Source organism: Homo sapiens, chromosome 10 (genome assembly GCF_000001405.40).
Source record: "Homo sapiens chromosome 10, GRCh38.p14 Primary Assembly".
In the NCBI taxonomy this organism is placed as follows: Eukaryota; Metazoa; Chordata; class Mammalia; order Primates; family Hominidae; genus Homo; species Homo sapiens.
Window position 1 is genome coordinate 69207736 of NC_000010.11, and position 26128 is coordinate 69233863.

At 47.0% G+C, this 26128-nt stretch overlaps 2 protein-coding genes and 1 long non-coding RNA gene across 13 annotated transcripts in view, besides 9 other annotated features; 2 read left to right on the forward strand and 1 right to left on the reverse strand.

Annotated features, from left to right (window-relative positions):
• Positions 1–1358, forward strand: part of SUPV3L1 (Suv3 like RNA helicase) — a 28860-nt gene extending 27502 nt beyond the window's left edge. For all 9 annotated transcript variants that reach the window (NR_136627.2, NR_136626.2, NM_001323585.2 and 6 more), the window contains 2 exons: positions 58–206; positions 865–1358. Coding sequence is in view for 7 of the 9 variants with exons in the window: in NM_001323585.2 (NP_001310514.1) it covers positions 58–206; positions 865–1300 (585 nt within the window). In the remaining 2 variants the exon portion in view is untranslated. The remainder of the gene's footprint in view (positions 1–57; positions 207–864) is intronic.
• LOC101928994 (uncharacterized) lies at positions 7598–24755 on the reverse strand. Its single transcript, NR_120648.1, has 5 exons — positions 24636–24755; positions 18087–18251; positions 15432–15490; positions 15142–15290; positions 7598–9037 (listed from the first exon to the last, which is right to left on the reverse strand). It is a non-coding gene; the product is annotated as an uncharacterized LOC101928994 (long non-coding RNA).
• Positions 10454–10623: an enhancer, noted in NCBI's record as "experimental_16991 CRE fragment used in MPRA reporter constructs". NCBI's record gives its function as "activates a minimal promoter by MPRAs in K562 erythroleukemia cells, with activity observed for both the introgressed and non-introgressed 10:70978030 variant alleles {active_cell/tissue: K562}" and the evidence as "EXISTENCE:reporter gene assay evidence [ECO:0000049][PMID:34662402]".
• The window catches only part of HKDC1 (hexokinase domain containing 1), a 47221-nt gene continuing 33689 nt past the window's right edge, over positions 12597–26128 (forward strand). For all 3 annotated transcript variants that reach the window (XR_007061989.1, NM_025130.4, XM_011540195.3), the window contains exons 1-4: positions 12597–12763; positions 19472–19634; positions 25029–25177; positions 25279–25398. Coding sequence is in view for 2 of the 3 variants with exons in the window: in NM_025130.4 (NP_079406.4) it covers positions 12701–12763; positions 19472–19634; positions 25029–25177; positions 25279–25398 (495 nt within the window). In the remaining variant the exon portion in view is untranslated. The remainder of the gene's footprint in view (positions 12764–19471; positions 19635–25028; positions 25178–25278; positions 25399–26128) is intronic.
• Positions 16683–16852: an enhancer, noted in NCBI's record as "experimental_16994 CRE fragment used in MPRA reporter constructs". NCBI's record gives its function as "activates a minimal promoter by MPRAs in K562 erythroleukemia cells, with activity observed for the non-introgressed 10:70984259 or rs56088826 variant allele {active_cell/tissue: K562}" and the evidence as "EXISTENCE:reporter gene assay evidence [ECO:0000049][PMID:34662402]".
• Position 16768: a transcriptional cis regulatory region, noted in NCBI's record as "Neanderthal adaptively introgressed variant 10:70984259 (GRCh37/hg19 assembly coordinates) or rs56088826 in the experimental_16994 CRE". NCBI's record gives its function as "modulates activity of the experimental_16994 enhancer by MPRAs in K562 erythroleukemia cells {active_cell/tissue: K562}" and the evidence as "EXISTENCE:reporter gene assay evidence [ECO:0000049][PMID:34662402]".
• Positions 21484–21653: an enhancer, noted in NCBI's record as "experimental_16995 CRE fragment used in MPRA reporter constructs". NCBI's record gives its function as "activates a minimal promoter by MPRAs in K562 erythroleukemia cells, with activity observed for both the introgressed and non-introgressed 10:70989060 variant alleles {active_cell/tissue: K562}" and the evidence as "EXISTENCE:reporter gene assay evidence [ECO:0000049][PMID:34662402]".
• Positions 21953–22012: an enhancer, noted in NCBI's record as "active region_3487". NCBI's record gives its function as "activates an Ori minimal core promoter by ATAC-STARR-seq in GM12878 lymphoblastoid cells {active_cell/tissue: GM12878}" and the evidence as "EXISTENCE:reporter gene assay evidence [ECO:0000049][PMID:35858748]".
• Positions 22053–22102: an enhancer, noted in NCBI's record as "active region_3488". NCBI's record gives its function as "activates an Ori minimal core promoter by ATAC-STARR-seq in GM12878 lymphoblastoid cells {active_cell/tissue: GM12878}" and the evidence as "EXISTENCE:reporter gene assay evidence [ECO:0000049][PMID:35858748]".
• Positions 24099–25298: an enhancer, noted in NCBI's record as "MED14-independent group 3 enhancer chr10:70991590-70992789 (GRCh37/hg19 assembly coordinates)". NCBI's record gives its function as "activates an origin of replication core promoter dependent on BRD2, BRD4, P300/CBP and CDK7 cofactors, and independent of MED14, by STARR-seq in HCT116 cells {active_cell/tissue: HCT116}" and the evidence as "EXISTENCE:reporter gene assay evidence [ECO:0000049][PMID:35650434]".
• Positions 24099–25637: a biological region, named in NCBI's record as "MED14-independent group 3 enhancer GRCh37_chr10:70991590-70992789".
• Positions 24912–25637: an enhancer, noted in NCBI's record as "H3K4me1 hESC enhancer chr10:70992403-70993128 (GRCh37/hg19 assembly coordinates)". NCBI's record gives its function as "activates a minimal SCP1, AML or CMV promoter by ChIP-STARR-seq in naive H9 embryonic stem cells {active_cell/tissue: H9 hESC(naive)}" and the evidence as "EXISTENCE:reporter gene assay evidence [ECO:0000049][PMID:30033119]".

The following is a 26128-nucleotide window of genomic DNA, read 5'->3' on the forward strand; positions in this document are numbered from 1 at the left end:
ATAGACTTAAGGGAATTCTGACACTTCTCTGAAACCCTTTTCCTCTTTCTCTCTCAGTTTGCCAGGCAGTATAGCAGGAATGAGCCCCTGACCTTTGCATGGTTACGCCGATACATCAAATGGCCTTTACTTCCACCTAAGAATATTAAAGACCTCATGGATCTTGAAGCTGTCCACGATGTCTTGGATCTTTACTTGTGGCTAAGGTACCAACATTTTTCCTTTATGTGCTCTCATTTTTCTAGTAGGACAAATTAAAGGTTTTATGAATTTGTTTTTCTATTTCAAATTATGGACATATTTGCAAGATGCTCTATATTATGTCTATTGTCCATAAAGGCAATTCAACTGATGGAATGGTTTCCCATTCCAAAAATGACTTGAGTTCTTGCAATTCTAGTTAAGATGGCTAGGTGAGAAGGAAGGTCCACTGGACTCCTGCTGGTCAAAGGATGGTCCTTGGACCAAAAGCATTGGTATCACCTGGGAGCTTGTTAGAACTAAGGAGTATCAGGCCCATGCCTGACTTGATCAGATTCTGCATTTTAACAAGATCCCTGGGTGATTCACTTGTACATTATCATTTGAGAAGTCCTGTTCTAGGCCAGTGATTCTCAAAGGAGGGGCATGTCCCTCTCCAGGAGTATATCAGAGTCTATTGAGGTATAGTGCTGACCCACCCTCAGGATGACATATTCCTCCGATATGTGGGGGCAGAAATCAAGGTTGAGCAAAGGCACTGAAGAGAGTTTGCAAAAAGAACATTTAGAATTTATCAATGTCATGATGTAGGTGTGCCATTGAGAGTTGTCCAGTGACTGCGATAAGAGCTGTTGCTATAATGCTAATGTGTCTTTTTCCCAGCTACCGATTTATGGATATGTTTCCAGATGCCAGCCTTATTCGAGATCTCCAGAAAGAACTAGATGGTATTATCCAAGATGGTGTGCACAATATCACTAAATTGATTAAAATGTCTGAGACGCATAAGCTGTTGAATTTGGAGGGCTTTCCATCAGGGAGCCAGTCACGATTGTCAGGAACCTTAAAGAGCCAAGCTAGAAGGACACGCGGCACCAAAGCTCTAGGGAGTAAAGCTACTGAGCCACCCAGCCCCGATGCAGGAGAGCTGTCCCTTGCTTCCAGATTGGTGCAGCAAGGACTCCTCACTCCAGACATGCTGAAACAGCTAGAAAAAGAGTGGATGACACAACAAACTGAACACAACAAAGAAAAAACAGAGTCTGGGACTCATCCAAAAGGGACGAGAAGAAAGAAGAAGGAACCTGATTCGGACTAGTTTTCTGTTCCTGTTTTTTTTTTTTTATTTAATTTTGCAAATAAAAATTTATTTTGAATCCTTTTTCCTCATATGCATTTACTCCCTCCTCTAGTATTGTGGCTATCTGGTACTGGGGGATTTTTGGTGTGTGTGTGTGTTTGTGTGTGTGTTTGTTTGTTTTTTCTTTTTTTGCACAGAAAAATCTCTCTTGATGACTAAACTTGTTTTTTTTTTTTTCAACATTTAGAAAATACTAGGATATCATGGAGGTTTAATTTAAGTCTTTATATAATGGCCATTTGTAGAATAGTACTAAGACAGTGCACTATAAGGAACTCTGCATGGGAATAAAATCACTTTGGTGAATTGTTTGACCAGTTTCCTATGCCATGCTGAGGATGTCATGGATGCAGTTCTTTGACAAACATTGCTGTCTGTTGTACCCATATACCAGAGGCTATTTAGGTGCTGGAAATATGCAGTAAGCAAGACTGACAATCTTCTACCCTCATGGATCTCATATTTGGTAGGAGAGACAGGAACAGGTTAACAAATAAATCCTGTCAGATCGGTGAGGGCAGAGATTGTAGTCTATTTCACTACTGCATCCACAGTATCTGGAATATAGCAGAAGCAAAATCATTCTTTGTGAGATGAATGGGTGTAATTTTAGAGATGAATGCTAGAAAGAATAAGGAAAGAGTGATGCTGAGTGGCAGGGAAGGGCTGTTTTAGGTAGGGTGGTCTTCCCTTGTCCAAAGGCCAGCCTACACTTGTTCAACGAAGTTTTCAACCCTGTTCAGAAACCTAGCTAAAAGGGGTTTAAAGATGGAAGCTTTGGAGTTAGACAGATGTGGTTCCTTTTCATATCACAGCTTAGCAGCCTTGCCATCTCTGGGCTTGATCTCACATCTGAAGAAAATGGTCAGTATGCTCACTTAGAGTTGTTTGGGAGGTTAAGTGTGATCACGTGCCATTTAGCACAGGGCCTGGCACACAGGAAGCATTTTATTATATAAATGAACCTGAAGGTTTGGGTCCAGTCTGGGCTGTGAATTGAGCTCTCAGATTATTCTGACAACTGAACTAATTTCTTGAGCAACTATTGAATTGGGGCTGACCTCCTGGTAGGGATTAAATATGATTTGACTCAAATTGGGTGAGGGAACGTAGCCAGATCTGCAACCTCTCTCTGCTTTTTTCTTTGGTGGTTCAGAGGTAACATTTAACTGAGATGACAATCTTCATTCTGACCTTTGCCTTCATGGGAGTAAAGGCTGAGTGGGTGGCACTGACTCTATTTCCTCCTTGCTTATGGATAAACTAGTGAAATGCCTGGAAGGGCTTATCTCTTGATATTCTGCAGTGGGGCAACTGCAGCTTCTAGAATTTGCTTACCCCTGTAACTTACACCATAGCAGACATAATCATTCTTGTCCAGATGGTTACAAGAAATACCTATGAACTGAACCAAATAGTGGATTTGGTCCCATCGTATGTAAGTGATGGGGTGCATCACTTAGAATGCTGTTAACTCTCCCATTTTCTCCAGTTTGGGGGCCAGAGTTGTTAAGTCAGAGAAAGGACTTAGGCAAGACACTTAAAAACTAAGGCAAGTGAAAAGTCCTGAATATGTTAAATAAAGAAGTGGCTGGGTGCAGTGGCTCATACCTGTAATCCCAGCACTTTGAGAGACCAAGGCAGGAAGATTGCTTGAGGCCAGGAGTTTGAGACCAGCTTGGGCAACACAGTGAGACCCCATCTCTACAAAAAATTTAAAAAATTAGCCGGATATGGTGGCATTCACCAGTAGTACAGCTCCTTGGGAGGCTCTGGTGGAAGGATCACTTGAGCCCAGCGTGTTGAAGCTGCAGTGAGCAGTGATCATGCCACTGCATTCCAGCTTGGACAACAGAGCGAGACCCTGTCTCTAAATAAGTAAATAAATAAAGCCTCAAATAAGAGAGGTGGGGGTGGGAGGTCCTGTAAAGGAAGGGCTGCTTGAACATTCAGCTAACGAGCATTTATAGTGATAGTTTGCCCTTTCACGTCTCCTTCCTTTGGAGGGAAAGGAGGGAACTGTGGTTAGAAGAAGAGACAGACTAAAGAAAAGATGGCAGCATGTGAAGCAAAACAGGAAAAATAGAATTGGAGTGGCCCTGGAGAATTATCTTCAGTGTACCTAAAATTGTCACCAAGAAAGCAGCCTAGTCTTCCTTCTCTGCAACAAGCTTGTCATGTCACTTATCTTTCTTTGTGGGCTTCAGGGCCAGCTAAATTCCAGGCATTCATTTCCATTTCACTATGGTCATGTCACTCTTTGTGAGAGACAGCTCTTTCCTGTCCTTGCAGTCTTCTCACGGATTGTGAAGTACTCACCTGAGAGCCCTCCGTGGATTATTATGGATTCCACTGAACTTAAACATGGGATGTGGACTAAGGCTTAGAGACTAATCTCAACCTATCACTATACAGACCTGATAATTTAATAAAATGTGATTAGAAAATGACTGGGAATAATATCCAGTGACTTGTAATGTTTTGTATGTTACATATATGGAAGAGTGTAAATCTGCAAAATGAAACTCTTGAAAAGTGACTGTAAATCACAAATATATAAAACTATCATCACAAATTAGAGTCTCTTATGACTCAAAACTGGGAGTCTGTAATTATGATGCAGTCATTCTGTGTGTGTCTAACTCAAACCTATTAGGATGTAATGAAAAGTAGAGATTTGCTATGGGACAGGCAAATGGATAAGGGAGTCATGCTGAGATTTCCCTCCCCTGTTTCACAGCTTTAAAATACATAAACCTGGCTGGGTGCAGTGGCTCACGCCTGTAATCCCAACATTTTGGGAGGCTGAGACGGACAGATCGCTTGAGCTCAGAAGTTCAAGACCAGCCTGTGCAACATGGCAAAACCCTGTCTCTACAAAAAAAGCAAAAATTAGCCCGGCATGTTGATGTGCGCCTGTAGTCCCAGCTACCTGAGAGGCTGAGGTGGGAGGATCACTTGAGCCCAGGAGGCGGAGGTTGCAGTGAGCTGAGATGGCACCACTGCACTCCAGCCTGGGTGACAGTACCAGACCCTGTCTCAAAAAAATAGATAAACCTCCACCTATAGTATCTCTAGATAAAGTAATTTTTAAGTTTTCTTCTGTTTCTTACGTTATTCTAATTCCTTTTTTTTTTCCCAGCTTGGTTTGATTTCTACCTTTATTGTTGGAAACTTGTCTCATGTGTCTAGCGATCCTTGCCTGTGTCTATGTTTAAAAGTGAAGAAATAAGCTAATGGAGAGCTCTGTTTATAGGCCTAATGTCTTTTCAGTTTTTATGCAGGTTGATTGGATGATAAGCTGGCTTTTTAAATGATTCCCTAAATGTCAGTATCTGTAAGGTTTATTTTACTTTATTTTATTTTTTGAGTCAGAGTCTCATTCTGTTGCCCAGGCTGGAGTGCTGTGGCATGAACTCTGGTCATACAACCTCTGCCACCCAAGGCCAGGTGCAGTGGCTCACGCCTGTAATCCCAGCACTTTGGGAGGCCAGTGGGGTGGGAGGGAGTGAATCATGAGGTCAGGAGTTCTAGACCAGCCTGGCCAATATGGTGAAACCCAGTCTCTACTAAAAATATAAAAATTAGCTGGGCATGGTGGCGCGTGCCTGTAGTCCCAGCTGCTCAGGAGGCTGAGGCAGGAGAATCCCTTGAACCCAGGAGGCGGAGGTTGCAGTGAGCCGAGATTGTGCCACTGCACTCCAGCCTGGGCGACAGAGTGAGACTCCATCTCAAAAAACAAACAAATATACAAATAAACAGAAAACAACCTCTGCTTCCCAAGTTCAAGCAATTCTCCTGCCTCAGCCTCCTGAGTAGCTGGGATTACAGGCGTGCACCACCACACCCAGCTAATTTTTGTATTTTTAATAGAGACTGGGTCTCACCATGTTGGCCAGGCTGGTCTCGAACTCCTGACCTCAGGTGATCCCAAAGTGCTAGCATGAGCCAACATGCCAGGCAGTATCTGTAAGGTTTTTTGTTTGTTTGTTTTTGAGATGGAGTTTTGCTCTTGTTGCCCATGCTAGAGTGCAATGGTGTGATCTCAGCTCACTGCAACCTCCGCCTCCTGGGTTCAAGCAATTCTCCTGCCTCAGCCTCCAGAGTAGCTGGGACTACAGGTGCACACCACCACAGCCAGCTAATTTTTGTATTTTTATTAGAGATGAGGTTTCGCCACGTTAGCCAGGCTGGTCTCAAACTTCTGACCTCAGGAGGTCCACCCAGCTTGGCCTCCCAAAGTGCTGGGATTACAGGCGTGAGCCACCACGCCTGGCCTGTAAGGTTTTTTAAACATAAACTTAAAAAAAAAAAGTTAGGATAGTTTTAGATTTGCAGAAAAATTGCAAAGATAATACAAAGAATTCCCATATACCCAACACATTTCCCCTATTAACATCTTACATTTCCCCCATTAACATCTTACATTAGTATGGTACGTTTGTTATAATTAATGAACCAAGACTGATACATTATTATTAACTAAAGGCCACAGGTTTTTAGATCTCCTTAGTTTTTACCCAGTGGCCTTCTTCTCTTTTGGATCCCATCCAAGACACCACATGACATTTAGTCGTCTCCTTAAGCTCCTCTTGGCTGTGACAGTTTCTCAGACTTGCTGTAGATGATCTCAACAGCTTTAAGTACTAATCACGTATTCTATAGACTATTCATCAGTTGGGATTTGTCTGATGTTTTTCTTATGATTAGACTAGGGTTTGGGTTTTGGGAGAAAGAGCCCAGAGGTAAGGTGCTGGTCTTATCACCTCATATCACGGATCTGTACTGTCAACATGACTTCACCCTGCTGAAGTTGACCTTCATCACATGCCTGAGGACAACGTGTCAGGTTTCTTCACTGTCATGTTACCCTTTTCTCATTTTCCATACTGAACTGTCTGGAAAGAATCACTGTGTATACTGTGCTCCACCTCTTTGAGGGTGGAGTATCTGTGTTCATTCTTCTGCATGGGAGATTGGTCCTTTCTCCCTCACTTATATATTTATACAATTATTTGTTAACATCAGTATGGGCTAATGGAAATGTAGACTTTGGGTTATAATCCAATCATACTTTATCTTGCCCAATTTTTTCTTTCTTTCTTTTTTTTAACACTCCTATCAATGTTTTCTAGCTTTGGTTATTAGGAACTTTTTCACTTTCAGTTGGCTCCTGTGTTCCTTTGACACATCCGTATCATTTGGTTTTTGTTTTGTTGATTAGTTCCTTCCTTTCTGGCACTACAAGATGCGCCAGGACCATCTTGTATAGACCTGGTTCTTTGATCTGGGCACTAGGTGTGCTTGTTGCTACTGGGTGTCATTACTTCTAGTGTTTCTCAGCTGACAAAGCAAGGACATATGCACGTGTATACTAAGCTATATACACGTCTTCAAATCTTTATATAAACATATATGTATAGTCATCTATATGAATATCAAGCTAAACATGAGTGTATACTGATGTCCTCAATTCTAATCCAGTGACATGGATCATTCTAGCCTTCTCCCCTGCTTGAAGCCTCTCACTCCAGCAGCAAGAAACCTCCCTCCCGCCATCCACCATCCATGTACTTAATTGTTCAATTCCAGTATTCTTGTGTAGTGGTTTCAGAATTGTTAAGCGTGCTCTTGCAGGAAGCAACTTTATCAATCAGAATACAGTGCTACATACACTTCCTTTTACTTGTAGTCTTACTCTATTAATTTCCAAAGTTTCTTAGGTCAGCATATTTTCCCTCCCCTTCCCCTTCAGTGAGGCTATTTCACACACTTGCAACACAGTTAGACTCATGTCACAGTCTGTGTTGCGTCGCTGACCTCCTAAATGTTTTTTTGAATGTATGTACATTAAAGTTCATTCTTTGTGCTGTCAAATTCTATGGGTTTTGAAAGTGTGTCATGTATTTGCCGTTACAGTGTCATACAGAATAGTTTCACTGCCCTAAAAACGCCCTTGCGTTTCACTTATTCAGCATCCCCCACCTTTCCAAATCCCTGGCCACTACTGACTTGTTTACTGTCTCTATAGTTTTCCCTTTTCCATACCTGTGGGTTTGGGTTTTTTTGGGGTTTTTTTTTTTTCCGCTGAGATGGAGTCTGGGTCTGTCGCCCAAGCTTGAGTGCAGTGGTGCAATCTCAGCTCATTGCAAAATCTGTTCCCCAGGTTCAAGCTATTCTTGTGCTTCAGTCTCCTGGGTAGCTGGGATTAGAGGTGTCTACCACCATGCCTGGCTAATTTTTTTTTGTATTTTTAGTAGGGATGGGGGTACCACCTGGGCCAGGCTGGTCTCGAACTCCTGACCTCAAATGATCCACCTGCCTTGGCCTCCCAAAATGCTGGGATTACAGGGGTGAGCCACCGTGCCTGGCCAAGCTTTTTTATATAGCTTTTTAACCAATCTCTTGTTTTTGGCTCTATGTCTTGCCCCAGACCTCTGATTCCTGAGCATTTTAGAGTTTTACAAACGTCACAGCTCCTTTCTCACCCGAGTCACCCTCTGCGGGCACTCAGGTTTCAGTGTTTGCTCTACTAAGCAATTACTTCCGTGAGCTTCCTGTCTTCCAGAATTATGTTAAGATCTCTTATCAGTCACTGTTTCCTTTCTTTTTGTCCTTGTAGGTTAATGCCGTGTTTAACCAGAAGTCTCATTTGCTTTGAAAAGTTGGTTATTTTGTGCAATTGAGATTGTAATTATTCTGAAAAATGTTAAAAGTCACATGAACTGCATTTTCTTGTATGGCTTTTCTTTCCTTGATAGGTGTTTTGCAAATATGACCCTTAATGTACAGTTGTGATTTAGAAATCATGTCAGAATTTCTTCCTGAGCATTCCTTGTCTTCGGTTCAGAATAAACCTGTAAAAATGATTAGCAGCATTCTTTTGAAACTTGCTGAGGTTAGCATTTCTGCTTCATTTGTGGCTGCTCCGATAGAGACACCATTGTGACTGTAACCACTGGCAGCGTTTGGAAGTCTCTACATTGGTTTTCTTATTATGGAAGTTTGCTCTCCCACACAGTTTCTGATTCTTTTGCAGCAAGTGGAATACCAGCAGGTCACACTGATTTATGTTATGACGACTTAACTTTGGACTTACCATTAAAAAGAATACAGGGCAGAATTCAAGAGCTGTTTTCTTTAGTAACAGGAATAGAATTTCCATAAAATTCCCAACTGTTCCTTTAATTCCAGTACATGGAACAGGTACTTTCTAATGGTTTAGGATCATGCCTTACTGAGTGGACTGAAAGGTCTGCACACATTTTCTTATCCCAAGAGACCAAGTTGGGTGAGCGAAGAGGGGTCCCCAGCCAGGGAAAGGCTGAGCTTCAGGAGATGCTTCTAGTGTGCCCACTGTAGACCACATGCCTTTCCTTGTGTGATAATTTGCTTTCTTTCTCACTGTGACCACTGACATAGCTATGAAGCTTTTACAGATATGAATATAGACTTGGACCTTTACCTGCAGTTTAAGAAAAGCCAAAGTAGGACCCCAGGGCCTGTGCACTTTCCACTGTGTTAGAAAGAGCTTAGGGCCATTTTTCCAGCTGAGGCCCCAAGTCTCCCCGTGCCTTGTTTCCAGCCTAGCCAGTGTAGCACAGCGGGCAAGCAAGAACTCTGCAGCTAGACTGCCTGCGTTCAAATCTCGATTTCACTGCGTCCCAGTTGGGCTCTGTGCCTTGGTTTCTCCATCTGTAAAATAGGGAGAATGACAGTTACTGTGGAATTAATATCGTAAGACATCTAGTAAACCCCATGGGGAAGTGTTTGCTAAATAAATAGGTAAATTTTGCTGGACTTCTAGTCCTCCCACCATACTCAGTACTTAAAGAGAAACAGAAATTATCTTTGAGCCTTGCCAAAACGGACCGTGTAGATTAAAGTGGAGCTCTATGAAACGGAGATGTGTCTACAGATGGGAGAGTTTCCCTTCTTACATGGAAGATTTGGGCCAGATGGGTGATACGCTTTAACTAAAATGTCACTTGTCAGTGTCGGCCCTCAAATGGGTGTTCTTAAGCAAAATCCAACTACTTATAAGATTTAAACCTAGATATCCTTGAATAGCCAATAGAACTGTAGTAAGGGTGAAAAATCCCAAGACTTGAATTGGAGTAATCAGATGAGGAATGATAAAATAACCTAATTATTTTGTCTTGATTCTATAAAGTGAGAGGGCTGAGCTAGATGACTCCAAATGCATGTGATCTCTGTAATCATTAAACTTCCTGGTTTAGTCACCTTACTCAGGCCTGGAATGTAGACGCTAATGTGCTCAGATTAAAAAGGGAATGATGCAATAGATGAAAATCCTCTGGTGTCATTTGCCTGATTAAAATTCCAAAGGCTGCCTATCTGACTCACACAAGCAACCGTGAGATTACAGAGATCTTTGGTTATGGTTTGCATCTTTTGACCACTGGCTACTGTAACCTCTTATCCCTATGTCGAACAAATCAATGACAGTTGGTTCATACTGCACTGCCCAGGTTACATTTTTTTTTTTTTTTGAAATGGAGTCTCACTCTGTTGCCCAGGCTGGAGTGCAGTGGTGCAATATTGGCTCACTGCAACCTCCACCTCCTGGGTTTAAACAGTTCTCCTACCTCTGTCTCCTGAGTAGCTGGGATTGCAGGCACCCGCCACCATGCCCAGGTAATTTTTGCATTTTTAGTAGAGACAGGGTTTCACCATGTTGGCAAGGCTGGTCTCGAACTCCTGACCTCAGGCAATCTGCCCACCTCCCACCTCAGCCTCCCAAAGTGCTGGGATTACAGGTGTGAGCCACTGCGCCCAGCCCAGGTTACTTTTTAAATGGGGGAATTAAATGCTGGGTGTGGTGATGCAAGCCTGTAGTCCTAGCTACTCAGGAGGCTGAAGCCAGAGGATCACTTGAGCCCAGGAGTTCGAATCCAGCCTGGGCAAGACTGGATGGAGTTCAAATCCAGCCTGGGCAAGACAAGATGTAGTGAGACTCTGTTTCTGAAATAAATCAACTAGTGGGGGAATTAGGATAAATAATGTCATCACTTACGGGCAGATGGCCTTCCCAGGATGTTATCCTCAGCCAATGGGGGCTAGGGCCTAGGATGCGCATTTCAGAATACCAACAATTCCACCTGGTTTGGGGCACTGAATGGTTTGGGGAACTAAAGGTTCATCTTTGTTTGCTTGTGTAATAAAGGAGCAAGCTAAAAGTCATAGTCTGAGGGTAAATTGACTGAAAAGGATGGGGATCCTCAATCTGGGAGACAGTTTTAATATGCTTATATCAATCTGAATAAAGCATCTGGAGTAATTTTAACCGAGCCTCCTCTGCATTGTGGGCTTAAGTGAGACCTGATGGCTCGTCCACACGGCAATGGGTAGAGAGCACTGAATTCCAGCTACTCAGGAGGCTGAGGCAGGAGAATTGCTTTAACCCAGGAGGTGGAGGTTGCAGTGAGTTGAGATTGAGCCACTGTACTCCAGCCTGGGCAACAGAGTGAGACTCTGTCTCAAAAAAAAGAAAAAGAAAAACAAATTCTTAACATCCCAACAGAATGCTGCTACTAATAGTTATCAATTGCGTATCTATTGAGTATCTATTGCGTGGAGAAAGCAGGGCTGGAGAGCCAATGCCATGTATTATAGCTGGGCCCTGGAATCAAACTTCCAGGATTGACCCCTTGCTGTCCTGTTTATGGCTTTGTGATCACGTAACCTTTCTGGGCCTCAATTTTTTCATCTATAAAATAAGAGTGGGCCGGGAGCAGTGGCTCATGCCTGTAATTCCAACACTTTGGGAGGCTGAGGTGGGTAAATCGCTTGAGCCCAGGAATTCAAGACCAGCCAGGGCAACATGGCAAAACCCTATCTCTACAAAAATACAAAAATTAGCTGGGCATGGTGCCACGTGCCTGTAGCCCCAGCTACCCTGGGGATTGAGATGGGAGGATCACCTGAGCCCAGAAGGCTGATGTTGCAGCGAGTCATGATTCCACGACTGCATTCCAGCCTGGGGGATGAATGAGACCCTGTCTAAAAAATAATAATAACAAGAGTAATAAAAACAAAATGGGATTGGTAAATGCTCCATCCATGTTAGCCGCTGTTGTTAACGCTGTTGTTATTGGTTTCATTAGCCAGCCAGTGACTGTGGGAAGAGTGCAAGGTTGATTGTACCCATGTATTGGGTGCTTTCTGGGTCCTTCTCATGTCAAGTATGATGAGTGAGAAGTGAGTGAATAAAACATCTCAGTGGCCTGAGACATTTCTCTTTTTTTTCTTTTTTTGAGATGGAGTTTTGCTCTTGTCACCCAGGCTGGAGTGCAATGGCGCGATCTCGGCTCACTGCAACCTCTGCCTCCCAGGTTCAAGTGATTCTCCTGCCTCAGCCTCCCAAGTAGCTGGGATTACAGGCACCTGCCACCACTCCTGGCTAAGTTTTTTGTATTTTTAGTAGAGATGGGGTTTCACCATGTTGGCCAGGCTGGTCTCGAACTCCTGACCTCATGATCTGCCTGCCTCGGCCTCCCCAAGTGCTGCGATTGTTACAGGCGTGAGTCACTGCACCCGGCTGGACTGAGACATTTCTTATCTGTGACTTCCTTCTCTCCAGCAGTGATTCCCAGTGAGCACTGGTGACTTCAGTTCACTCTTTCTCAGGAATATTTTTTCCTGGGTCACTACCTGTGAACTAAAGATTTTCTGGCTTAACACTGTGAATAGGTAAACATTTATTGATCATTTTCTGTTAACCATGGGCTATTAGTTAAGAGATCTGATCTGTCACAAATGGAAGAATCTGCCCCAACATTCTTGAAATCCCATTGACCAGGACAATGTTTAGTTTTAGTTAGTTCAGTGCTTCTGAGGAGCAGGGGGTCACAGAGTTATGCCACTGGCATAAAAAACTAAAGAGAAAAGCCTGGGACTGGAAATTTGCAGAGCAGCTCCACCGGTTGAAAGTTGGCTTTGTTTAGTGCCCAACTTCGCAGAAGATTTTCCTCGGCTGAGTGGGCTTGGCAGAGCCCCGGCTTGAGAGGGTTGCTTAGCAATGAGATTTGGTGGCACCCAATTCTCAAGTAGTCAAGCAACCCATCAATACCCTGCTTCCCCCTCCACTAAACCTCAGCTACCATCCAGAGCCTCCTATTAGACAATCAAGTGTGTGCCAGAGGGAGGGACCAAAGGGGTGGGGTGGGGGGGAGTTTAATCATTGAACCAAGCAGGCTGGAGGTATTTAGTCCGCAACACCTCGCTCCCCAGGAGGTCTGCCAGCCTGGACTGGAAGCGTGCAACACTCCAGAGTCGTAGGAGTGAACACTGCACAGGAATCTCTGCCCATCTCAGGAGAAACCAAACTTGGGGAAAATGTTTGCGGTCCACTTGATGGCATTTTACTTCAGCAAGCTGAAGGAGGACCAGATCAAGAAGGTAAGGAGGACCCACGAAGCTGAGAGATGCCCAGCTCCTTCTTCACGGACAAAACTGATTCCCTTAAAAAAAAAATCAGAAGGGAGTGAAGAGAGCTTATTAGAAAAGATACTGGGAGCATATGACCAGTAAAAGACTCACTGAGGGAAGAGGGAGTAATTCTCCCACACTCCTGGGCATTGCATTACTGTCCTGAACCTTACACTTCACTCGGAACTTCCTGGCAGGTATTGGATGCGGAAGCGGGTGAGGAGGGTGTTTGGAAAGCTTGAAGAGGATTGTGTTTGCTGTAAGGGATGTTTGCTCGGAAAGGCCACAAAGGCGAGGAGAATCATTTTCAAAGAAGTTTTAAGAACTGTTGGAGCAGAAGGCTGGGCGCAGTGGCTCACGCCTGTAATCCTAGCACTTTAGGAGGCCGAGGTGGGCGGATTACCTGAGGTCAGGAGTTCGAGACCAGCCTGGCCAACATGGTGAAACCCCGTCTCAACTAAAAATACAAAAATTAGCTGGGTGTGGTGGCGGGCACCTGTAATCCCATCTACTCGGGAGGCTGAGGCAGGAGAATCGCTTGAACCCAGGTGGTGGAGGTTGCAGTGAGCCGAGATCGCGCCATTGCACTCCAGCCTAGGGGACAAGAGTGAGACTTCATCTAAAAAAAAAGAACTGTTGGGGCAGATCTGTTTGTTCATGTATTTGAAAGCATATAAATGTGGGCAGCAAGAAGGTGTGAGTTGCAATAGACAGTAATTGAAATATCTATTATTGGCACCTGCTATTTGCCAATGGTACACTATTCATGGTGTGCATTATTTTGTCACTTTGCTCAGGGAACTTGTCTACAAAATTCATTCCAAAGTGGGCTGGTTAAAGGTTGCCAAGGGTCAACAGGAGGGAACCAGGGTTCTTTCCAGGCAGCTAAAATGAGCCCAGTCTGCTACTCTGGCCACACCGGCTGGCTGTCACGGCCCTGGGCAAAAAGCATCTCTCAAAGTGCAGATGACAGAAGTCCTCCTAGCAGGAGGACTTAGCCAAGGTCACCAAGTATTTAGGATGGAATGAGGATTAAATCCAAGTTGGCTGACTCTTCCTTCAATGCTTTCTGCTGTGCCATGACTCCCTCCTGCTTTACAAAATGAATAAGGAGGCCAGGCACCGTGGCTCACGGCTGTAATCTGCATACACTGGGAGGCTGAGATGAGCAGATCTCATCTCAAACTTGAGGTCAGGAGTTTGAGACCAGCCTGGGCAACATGGAGCAACCCCATCTCTACAAAACATGTAAAAATTAGCCGGTCATGGTGGTGTGTGCCTACAGTCCCAACTACTCGGGAGGCTGCGGTGGCAGGATGGCTTGAGCCCGGGAGACTGCGCTACTGCACTCCAGCCTGGGTGACAGAGTGAGACCCTGTCTGAAAAAAAAAGGAAAGAAAAGAAAAAAAAAGGCCAAGGATGGTGGCTCATACCTATAATCCCAGCACTTTGGGAGGCCAAGGTGGGTGGATCACCTGAGGTCAGGAGGTTGAGACCACCCTGGCCAACATGGTGAAACCCCGTCTCTACTAAAAATTTAAAAATTAGCTGGGCGTGGTGGAGTGCGCCTGTAATCCCAACTACTCAGAAGGCTGAGGCAGGAGAATCCCTTGAACCCGGGCAGCAGAGGTTACAGTGAGCCGAGATCATGCCATTGTACTCCAGCCTGGGCAACAGAATGAGACTCCGTCTCAAAACAAAACAAAGAAAGAGAGAGAGGAAGTGTGGCCCCTTACAGCCCTCAGGTACTTGGTGGGATAAACTCCCACTAAATTCTATTCATTTAGAGAGTTGAGTTAGAGGTTGTAGCAAATTTAAAAACATTATAAAGCAATCACTTGTTGATTAGATTCAGAGCCCTCTACTGGCTACTTAAGGAGGCGCTGCCTAGGAATCCACTTTCTTTTGTTATCTGCTTAGTAAAGGCACAAGTTGCACCATGTCTCTCCCACCCCCAAGGGGGAGCCTTTGGAACCCTGAAACCTTTGATTCTGCAAACTTATTTCATTTCCTTGGGCTCCTTTGTGTTGGTTAACCTTTTGTACCCTAGGATCATGCGGGACATGTTTGTCCAACAGCCCTGGTGCAGGCTCAGGAGCACCCTGTGATGGGAAATGCAGCCTCTGCTGATGGGCTCCAGGTCCTTCTGGAAGGACAGTCAGCCTTTTTCAATGCCGGGAGCTGACCTCCCTCTCCCTGTGGGAGGCGAGAAAGTTGGAAGCACTTTTATAGCCACCTTAAGCAAGTGCCCCAGGAAGTCTCTGGGGTAGTGTGGGAGACTGGTTTATGGCTGCTGGGCTGAGTCATGGTTCTGAGAACACTCCTCCCAACACGTGGTGGAAACACACCTGGTCAAAAGGCACAGCTCGTTTCTCTGCGGTCAGGCAGTGAGTCCCCTTCTTCGTCTCTGTGCTTCCTGCCTCTAGAATTGTCCAGATCCTGGGCCAGCGGTGCCTGCAAGGGTTACTACTGAGACCCTGGAACAATTTCTAAAAATCTTCCCATACCAGCATGGAAACAAAAATAAAACAAAATGAAAAAAACGAAAATAGAAACCACTCTGACAGATTCTTTTCCAATTCAATATATTGACATTATTTGACCTATTGATAGCACCAGGCCAGACCTGGTCACTGACCTGCAGATTGTTCATCCACAGGAGAACTGGGAGGTTTTCAGTGTGTATTTTTCATGGCTCTGTATGTCAACATTACAAAAAAGTGGAAATGTTACTTGTAATTCCACCTTTAATTTACTTTTAATCTCAAACACTTTCATATTTGCTGGGTGGAAGCCTTCCTAGTTTTTCTTCATCCTGTATGTTTTTAGTTATGTTTATAAGGTACATACAGTTCTGAACTGCTTCCCTCACTTACTGTTACAGTGTAACCACTTACATAGATTTCTTCATTATCATCATAATTATCATTACAATGTCTTCTTAATATCCAATCAAGTGGATATGCCATAATGTAGTTAACCTTTTCCTCTTGTTGGACATTTGGATACTTTCGAATATCCAGAGTTGTGTAACCATTACCACAATCTAATTTTTTTTTTTTTTTTTTTTTTTTTGAGACGAAGTCTTGCTCTGTCTCCCAGGCTGGAGTGCAGTGGTGCGATCTTGGCTCACTGCAACCTCCGCCTCCAGGGCTCAAGCGATTCTCCTGCCTCAGCCTCCTGAGTAGCTGGGATCACAGGCCGCACCACCACGCCCAGCTAATTTTTGTATTTTTAGTAGAGACAGGGTTTCGCTGTGTTGGTCAGGCTGGTCTCGAACTCCTGACCTCGGGATCCGCCCGCCTCGGCCTCCCAAAGTGCTGGGATTACAGGCATGAGCCACCATGCCTGGCCTCATTTGGATACTTTCAAAAACATTTTTAATAATTAAAATATTAGGCTGGATGAAGTGGCTCATGCCTGTAATCCCAGCACTTTGGGAGGCTGAGGCGGGATGATCACTTGCCTCCAGGAGCTCGAGACCAGCCTGGATAACATAGAGAGATCTGTCTCTACAAAAAATGCAAAAATTAGCTGGGCATGGTGGCACATGCCTGTAGTCCCAGGTACTTGGGAGGCTGAGGTGGCAGGATCACTGGAGCCCGGGAGGTTGAGGTTGCAGTGAGCTGTGATTGCACCATTGCACTCCAGGCTGGGCAACAGAGCAAGACCCTGTCTCAAAAATAAAATAAATAAAATAAAAGTATTGTTATGTTAAACCTTGGTAGAGTTTTAGTTTTATTTTTATTTATTTATTTTTTATTATTATTTTTAAGATGGAATCTCGCTCTGTCACCCAGGCTGGAGTGCAGTGGCGCGATCTCGGCTCACTGCCAGCTCTGCCTCCTGGGTTCATGCCATTCTCCTGCCTCAGCCTCCGAAGTAGCTGGGACTACAGGCGCCCGCCACCACGCCTGGCTAATTTTTGTATTTTTAGTAGAGACATGGTTTCACCAGCTTGGCCAGGCTGGTCTCGAACTCTGACCTCAGGTGATCCACCCGCCTCGGCCTCCCAAAGTGCTGGGATTACAGGCGTGAGCCACTGCGCCCGGCCTTGGTAGAGATTTATGGTTCTCCATAGTCAGGATTATTTCCTGAGAATAGGTTCTGGAAATGAAAGCCCTGGGTCAAAGAGCGGAATTTTTTATGACTCTCATTCCTAATGTGAGACCTTTGGACTAGACGAGCTCTAAGGCCCCTCCAGCTCCCACCTTCTGCAATTCAGTCTTGAGTCTTGAATGTTGGATTTGCTCTTTCTAAGTGAAACGGGCTGCTGGTTGGCTTTCTTGCTTAGACGATATCTCCCATGATGGTTTGTGTGTCTCTCCAAAAGTGGGCTTGGTTTTCTGCAGCACCAGTACTCTCCCTTAGTGCCTGGGACGTGTGTCCCTGGTTACACATACCCCACATGACTTGTTTGGATTGAAAATAGGTGCTTTTTGTCCCAACATATGTTTCACTTTTCCCTTCTAACAACTGTTCCTGGTGCTGTGGCAGATACAGAAGATCAAAAGGAAACTGTTGCTGAGTTGACATTCTTTCTGTCATAACCTCAACTTATTGAAAGAGCAGCAGCAAACCAAGTGCTCAATGACCCCATTAAACCCCAGTCGCAAATGACCCCAACTGGGTCTCAAAAAACAGGACTTACATGGCAGGGATAACATTGTGTGGATGCCTGGAGTTTTTTATACTCTCAGGCTAAGCAAAAATGATCAGTAGGTTCAGGGGCACTGTCTGAGAGCCCTTTGGGTAGGAAAGAATCAAGTTTGGTTCCCACATACAGCATCCCACCCTTCCCCAACCCCAATTACTTGGGTCACGTCCTTTGCATCCAGTTTTCTCGGCTTGTGTGTGGCTGTGCCAACCAATTAGTCATAAACAGCCTTGGGGGAACAGGAAGCCCTTAATGAAGCCTGACCTGGTTCCATCCTGTTTCTCAAATATGCTGAAAGCTCAATTGTCCTTTTTTGCTAATGGCTGTCTGATGATTTTCTGGTCTTTCTCTGGCCCCCGAGTCCCCGGAGCCATGGTACCATTTCAGTGTCTTGGGTCTGTTCGTTGTCACGAGACTGAGCTGGGTCCTGGCCTCTGAGGCCTGGCTGATGACCGGGCCCCTGTCCTAGCGCGAAGGTAATGTGAGCCCTGTGCATTTGGTATAATTTGTCTGTCGGGCTTATGCATCCCCGACAGAGCTGTGAGCCAAAGCCAGGCCATGGGGGTGAGTGATCTAGAGCCTATGTTACAGTCCCACGTAGCCACAGCTCTGCAGCCCTCTCACCTCACCTCTCACCTGGGGACAAGAACTTTGGCCTTACGTGGCTGCCTCAAAGGGATGCTGTGGCGATGAGAAGAGGTGACGTACGTGGACGCACTCTGTAGACAGTAGCACGTGTTCTTCACCCTGGATAAAATGCCCTTTCACCGGGAATGTGCCTGGGATGGAGCCTCCTGTCACCTGGAGGGTGGAGAGTGCTCAGTATAAAAACAGGGCTGGAAAGGACAGGGTGCATATGCCCCTGTCTCTCCTCCTGCCCCCATCAATAATCCATCCCAGTGAGCCCGGGCTCCAGACTGCCAGCACCAATTGATTAGTGTTAATTAGTGTGAGGGAGGAAGCTTTGCTGCCGTCCCTGATGTGACATATTACCAACAAGAGGACTGATTTTAGCCATAGTGATTTGTATAACTTCCCTCCTTTGGGTATGGTCCTCTGTCCCCGTTTCCTGGTTACATGAGTGACATCCACTCATTTTCAATAGCAATCTGAGCTGACTTTAAAAATTCAGCTTTGTCTTAACTAGAACAACTCAGTTAAACCAAAATGGACATTTATGGCTGGGTGAGGTGGCTCACGCCTGTAATCCCAGCACTTTGGGAGGCCGAGGCGTGTGGATCACTTGAGGTCTGGAGTTCAAGAACAGCCTGGCCAACATGGCGAAACCCCATCTCTACTAAAAATAAAAATAAAAAAAAATTAGTCGGGCCTGGTGGCACCTGCCTGTAATACTAGCTACTCAGAAGGCTGAGGCAGGAGGATGGCTTGAACCTGGGAGGTGGAGGCTGCAGTGAGCCGAGATCTCATCACTGCACTCCAGCCTGGGCGACAGAGTGAGACTCTGTCTTAAAAAAAAAAAGGAGGGAAATTTAAAGGGCTAGATTTAGGCATTGCTTTTGGAAATGAAATTTAGCTCTGAGCTTCCTAGCAGCCAGTAAACAAAGAGAAACCTGTCTAGCTATATCTGTGGTCATCATTGGATGAAAGAAAGCTTCCATGTTTAGAAATCTACGATTCAAGCTCTAGCTGGCCTTTTTTGGTGGAGAGGAATGGGACACTGGTGAGGGCCCTGAACTGGGAATCGGAAACCCTGAATCCTTCTTAGTTTCTGCCTCTCCCTTGTCTCATCAGAATAATGGGAGAATCATTTTCTCCTCAGATTCTGCCCTTCAGAGAAGTAACTCCACACCTTCTCAGCCCTCCGTTCCATTCTGCTTTCCTAACTCGCTTCCCTGTCCTCTGCCTGAGGAGGGGTCAGATAGGGAGGCTTTGGGAATCCACATCTCAATGCTGTCCCCAGAGTCAGGAATGCAGCTTGCTGAGGGATGTCGGGGGTTACAGCCTCGACTGGAGGGTGAGGGCCCCCAGCAGCACCCCTTGGTGGCCGGTGTCTGTTCCAGGTGGACAGGTTCCTGTATCACATGCGGCTCTCCGATGACACCCTTTTGGACATCATGAGGCGGTTCCGGGCTGAGATGGAGAAGGGCCTGGCAAAGGACACCAACCCCACGGCTGCAGTGAAGATGTTGCCCACCTTCGTCAGGGCCATTCCCGATGGTTCCGGTGAGTGCAGTTGTCCGCTGCCAGGGTCCCTGGCTCCTCTTGGCTGATGGGTGTCTAAAGTACCTAAGGTTTGCCCCTGTACCTTGGCTTCTCTCTCTAGCCCTCTCTCTGCTGTCCCACCCTCCCTGCCCCTCTCTGCTTCAGTCCTGCTGAATCCCTCTTGCAGTTCTGCAGTTCTGCAGCCCCAGGCACCGTGGCTTCTCTGCCCATCGTGGCCTCACACATTTGCTCCCTCTCCTCCTGGAGCATCTCCATGTTCTTCCCTGGTGAGTATCAACGTGGCTTTTCCGTCTCAGCGTAGTGGTCCCTGCCTCCATCTAGGAAGTATCCCTGTGCTGGGCTGGGTGCTTGTCAGGGCACTTGTCACTTTGCTGTGTCCCCACTCTGAGTCTCCACCAAATTAACCACTCACTCCGTGGGTCCAAGGTCTTACCACAGTGTTCCCAGCACCTAGTGTAGCACTGGGAATGAGTAATGGGAGCAAGAATGATGTAGTGGAAATCACATTCAATGATAATTCAACAAACCTGGGTCTGAGGCCCAGCTCTGTCACTCTCAGTGACCTGAGGCAAGTGTTTAGCCTCAGTTTGCCCAGCTGTAGAATGAGAAATGGCCTATGTATCTGTTTCCTATGGCTGCTGTGATGTATTACTACAATCACAGTGGCTGAAAACAATCGAATATATTCTCTGACAGTTCTGGTGGACGGAAGTTTGCAGTGGGTCTCACTGGGCCAAAATTCAGGTGTCGGCAGGGCTGCGTTCCTTCTGGAAGCTTGAGGGGAGAATCTGTTTCCTTAACTTTTCCAGTTTCGAGAGGCCACCTGCATCCTTGAGGCATGCCCCTTTCTGTTCTCAAAGCCAGCAGTGTAGCCTCTTCAGGTCCCTCTCTGACCTGACCTTCTGCCTCCTTTCAACATTTAAAGATCCTGTGATCACGTTAGTCATGCTTAGATAATCCAGGATAATCTCCCAACTTCAAGGTCAGCTGATGAGCAATTTTGATCCCATCTGCAACCTTAATTCCCCTTTGCCTTGCACCCTCAGATATTCACAGGATCTGGGGATTAGGATGTGAGCATCTTTGTTGGGGGTGGGGGACATTATTTTGCCTACAATGGCCTAGAAATCTGTAGATAGGATCTATGAGGTCCCATCCAACTCTTCCATTCTCAGCCTCTGAATGAAGCTGTAAGAGGGAAAAGGGCTGCTACTGGCCTGGAGTGGTGGCTCACGCCTGTAATCCCAGAACTTTGGGAGGCCGAGGGGGGCAGATCACTTGAGGTCAGATGCTCGAGACCAGCCTGGCCAACATGGTGAAACTCCACCTCTACTAAAAATACAACAATTAGCCAGGTGTGATGGCATGCACCTGTAATCCCAGCTACTCGGGAGGCTGAGGCAGGAGAATCACTTGAACCTGCAAGGCAGAGGTTGCAGTGAGCCGAGATTGCGCCACTGCACTCCAGCCTGGGTGACAGAGCGAGACGCCATCAAAAAAGAAAGAAAGAAAGGAAGAAGAAAGAAAGAAAGAAAGAGAGAGAAAGAAGAAAGAAAGGAAAGAAAGAAGAAAGAGAAAGAAAGAAAGAGAAAGAAGAAAGAAAGAAAGCAAAGAAAAAGAAAGAAAGAAAGAGAGAAAGCTGCCATTTACTGAGCAACCACTGTGGTCATGGGGTGCTGGGGACTCGCTGAGCCACATATTTCCTGTGACAACCCTGTGGTGTGGCTGTTCAGACAGAACCACCAAGGACCAAGGGGTTTCTCCCATGTCAGGGTCCCAGTGCCCAAACCGAGCTCGTGAAAGAGCACTGGGGCTCTCGCAGGAGCAGGGTCTGAGGTTTGGGAGCTCTCAGGGGGCTTTGATGGGATCAGTCGTGTTCTGGACCTCTCTGGAGCAATGCCTGGATCAAGGTAGCTTGGCTCTGCTGGTTGAGAGGCCCTGGGACACTGCACTGGGAAAGGCCCTGTGCCCTCACTTGTGGGTAGGTGCTTGGGATGGACAGTGCCCTGTCCTGGAAGGACGTTGAGCTTCGGAGAGAGACAGCCCTACTTTGAAATCTTGGCTCTGTCCTTGCCACAGCTTGACGAGAGTACTGGGACGTGTCCTTGACAGGGCATCTGGGGCCCCTGGGAGGAAGCAGCTGAGTCATGTGGGGAGCACCAGGGCTAAGTCCGCCTGGCTTCCTGGACTGCAGCCCCTCCTCCTGATACAGACAAGGTGTGTCCCCAGAAGCAAGGGAAGGTGGCCTTTGATGGTCTGGAGGCTCTGGGACAGGCGGTGTCCTCCTGGCCCTGGCTGCTTCTGAAGGTTCAGAAGTGAAACTAACTAAGTCATAGAAACTCTCTCCTCCTTAGCCGGGAAGACGCCCAGCTCCCCATCCCCGTCTCCGCAGAGCCTCTCACCACACAAAGCATCTCACCAGTGATTCTGTTGTGCCGAGGTCCCTGGGCCCAGAGTCCCTAATAAGCCAGGTGTTCTTGGTAAATCCCGGCACCATACATGATTGTCAGGATTTAATGAGATCATGTGGATGGCGTGCTTTAACATCTCTAAAATCTTGTCCCAAGTCCTCCTAGCTCTTGTGAGCTGGTGGTATAATTTCATGATTACCGACAAAAAACAAGCAAAACTCTCCTAATTCCTTATGGTGTCCGTTTCAGAAATGTATGCAGCTTCCAGAGAAGTCCTGAGTTTGCCTACTCCCATCAGGACCTATCTGCGAGGGAGTCACCTGTTTGAGCCTTAGTTACCACCCAGCCTTTTGGTCAGGGGGCTGCAGTGGTCTGTTCTGACAGGATCAAGTGCCTTAAAAGTGCTGTGTTAATACTGGAGCCTTCTCTGCCAGTCATGGAAGGGGCATGGGAAGCATGAGGGTGACTGTGATTCTTTGGCTTGACCCCTGCTGGCTCTGTTCCAGGCCTTAGCCTCCAGTCAGCCTCCAAGGCCAAATAGGCCTTGGGGGTGAGCCCGGGAGCCCTGAGGTCGTCAGCCTGGAGCCTCGAGTGTTTCCTAATACACACTTTCCCAGCCCCTCCCCCTGGGGACTCTGAATCTCCAGGAATCTCCGCATTCAGCCACTGTGCACCTTTGGGAGACTCTGCACTGGGTAAAAGGAGGGAGTGAAGGCACCAGCACCAGCAGTGACTTACGAGAAGGGAACCATTGGGTCCAAGGCAGTTCATGGAGGGTCCTCTGGAGCAGGCAGATTGGCCAAAGCAATTTACCCCGCTTAGGACACTGTTTTCTCTTTTCTTTCTTTTTAGAAACAAGGTCTCCCTCCGTTGCCCAACCTGCAGTGCAATGGAGCCATCATAGATCACTGCAGCCTTGACCTTCTAGGCTCAAGTGATCCTCCTGCTTCAGCCTCCCAAGTAGCTGGGACTACAGGTGCATGCCACTACGCCCAACTGACTTTTTTGTCTTTTGTTTTGTAGAGACAGGGTTTTACCATATTGACCAGGCTGGTGTTGAACTCTTGGCAAGGGATTAATTCTCCTGCCTGGGCCTCCCAAAGTGCTGGGACCACAGGTGTGAGCCACCGTGCCTGGCCGGGGCTGTTTTCTTGATGTCTGTGAAGACTCTGAGGCCCCACAGACTGCTGTTGCCTGGGCAAGTCCTCCCTCTCCCAGGGTCCACTGGTTCCTTTTTTCTGGGGTCAGAGACAGAAGGGATCACACCATGTGGCATCCATGAAATGGCACCTCGAGCCACTGGTGGAGTGAGGTGTTTGATAGTGATTGCGATGCGGGCCGGGAGTGGGATGCCTCCACACCGACACTGGCCAGGTCTCAGCACATCCCCTCCCGTCCGATGGCAGTGCAGCAGCCTCTTCTTTTGTTAAACCCTCAGTCTATTCTGGTTGGTGTCAGAGGCATTTGTCCCCAGAATCTCAGATCTTGGCACTCCCTAGCTTAAAATCTTTCTGCAGCTCCCTCTCACCTTCCAGATAAAGCCCAAGCTCCTTGGGGTGGATAGCTTTTCCAAATCCTTCCAAATTTAACCTGAGAGCCACCTTCCAACCTCATTTCTGTGACAGCTGCCCTCCTTTGGCAAAAGCACACTCACTCTTAGCGGATGCTTTCTCATTCCTTTGCCCGTGGTTCCTCTCCCTGGGACCCCCGCTCCCGGCAGCCTGGCAGCCTGACTCCTGCTCACCCTTCAACACTCAGCTCTGTGTCCCCTCCCTGCAAAGCCAGCTGCCTTTGTCTCCCAGCTTTGACCTGGATATCTCTCCCTGTGCCTCTCACAATCTGAGCACTGGTCCTACTATATGGAAATAGCTGATTTATGCGCCTGTATTTCGGATCAATTTCCCAGGGAGCACACCGTCTTTCATCTGCGCATCCCTAGCACCTAACACATGTTACTCAGCACAGAGTAGATGCTCAGTAAATGTGTGGACATAGATTGTGGGATCTACCCTACCTCCTACACAGCAAGACAGCATCTGGGAGAACCCTCTTACTTGGTGCATAATATATACTAATAAAAGTTGCATAGGATTAACTCCCTGAATTCCCTCACCAAATAATAAATGACTCCATCAGCTCCTTTGTGGCTGATCTGTGAAGGTAAGAATTTCCGGATGTCTACACAAAAACAAAAAATCGAGCTGGCTGCACCTTTGCTACTCTAACTATGGTCTACAGACCAGCAACAGCAGCAACATCACCAAGTTGGCCAGGCTGTTCTTGAACTGCTGACCTCAGGTGATCTGCCCGTCTCGGCCTCCCAAAATGCTGGGATTACAGGCATGAGCCACTGTGCCCAGCCCCCACCTTTCAATTAATGGCATCTGTCTTGGGCTGGGCTGGGTTGTGTTCCAATGTCTCCTTTTGGAGTGGCTCTGGCCTAAAAAAATCAGCATCCTTGGCACCTCAAGGGCCATTGTTTAGTCCCTGTCTCCTCTCCCCTCCAGGAGTGTTTTCCCTCTGCCCATAGGATCATCGGCTGCAGGAGGCTGGCTGCTCCTCGCCGCACATCCTGTCTTCCCCCTCATACCTTTATCCGAGTTTCCCCAGGCTGGGAGCACCAGCTCTCTCTTCCCAGTGATGGCATCCCAGGATGGGCTCCACCGTCGAGGCCACCTCTCATACCACCGCAAGGGCTGTGCTCACATTTGCCCTCTCCAGTTGACATGCACATTCCTACAGCATGAGCCAGTGGGTTGGGCTCAGGCTGCAGAGTCAGGCTGACTTAGTTCACATCTCAGCTCTGCGCCTTACCTCGAGGGCTCTGAGAAATGGCCAGAGTCCTCAGCCTTGGCAAATGAGCATAATGATACCTAGTGGCTGTGATTTGAAGACGTTGATTATATGTCCAACCTCTAATGCAGAGCTTGCCATATCTGTAGTAGACCCTCAATAAATGGAAACTGAATTTGTTTCTTAATAGAAAATGGGGAGTTCCTTTCCCTGGATCTCGGAGGGTCCAAGTTCCGAGTGCTGAAGGTGCAAGTCGCTGAAGAGGGGAAGCGACACGTGCAGATGGAGAGTCAGTTCTACCCAACGCCCAATGAAATCATCCGCGGGAACGGCACAGAGGTACCTGGCAGGTGGCTCCTGTGACCGCAGGGAAGGCGGTGGCATCCGTGTGTGGGGAAACCACACCTTAGCCCATGTACTTTGCTTTCTCTTCTCTGCAGCTGTTTGAATATGTAGCTGACTGTCTGGCAGATTTCATGAAGACCAAAGATTTAAAGCATAAGAAATTGCCCCTTGGCCTAACTTTTTCTTTCCCCTGTCGACAGACTAAACTGGAAGAGGTAAGGCGCGGAGGGAAGCAGCAGTGCAGGAATTGGGGCTTGGGGAATGTGGGCACGGGTGGGAGTCAGGCTGCACGCAGGAGAGAACAGCAGGAGCTTTCTTGTTTGTCTTTTTCTTTTCTTTTTGTTCATGATGAGGTGGCAGCGTGAGGCAGAGAACTTGTTAACGCAATGGCCTTGATTTTATGATTAACGTGGGCACAGCTCGGGGGAGTAGAATGCTTTTCACTAGCTCTCAAACCTTGGTGTGAGGAATTCCTTGGAGGGCTTGTTTTAAGCACAGATTGCTGGGCCTACTGGAATCAGTGGTTCTGCAAGGAGGCCCTAAATTCGCCTCCCTGACAGGTTCCTGGCAGATGTGATGCTGCCTGAGGCCTGCACTTAGGACCACTGACATAGCCAACTAGAAGAAACATGGGAAGGCTGGGGAGTCTCTCCCTGTAGTGAGCCCTCAGGAGGAGGATTAGAATGGGGGCACTGGAGGACCAGGCGCGGTGGCTCACGCCTATAATCCCAGCACTTTGGGAGGCCGAGGCGGGCGGATCATGAGGTCAGGAGATCGAGACCATCCTGGCTAACATGGTGAAACCCCGTCTCTACTAAAAATGCAAAAAATTAGCTGGGTGTGGTGCCGGGCGCCTGTAGTCCCAGCCACTTGGGAGGCTGAGGCAGGAGAATGGCGTGAACCCGGGAGGCGGAGCTTGCAGTGAGCCGAGATTGTGCCACTGCA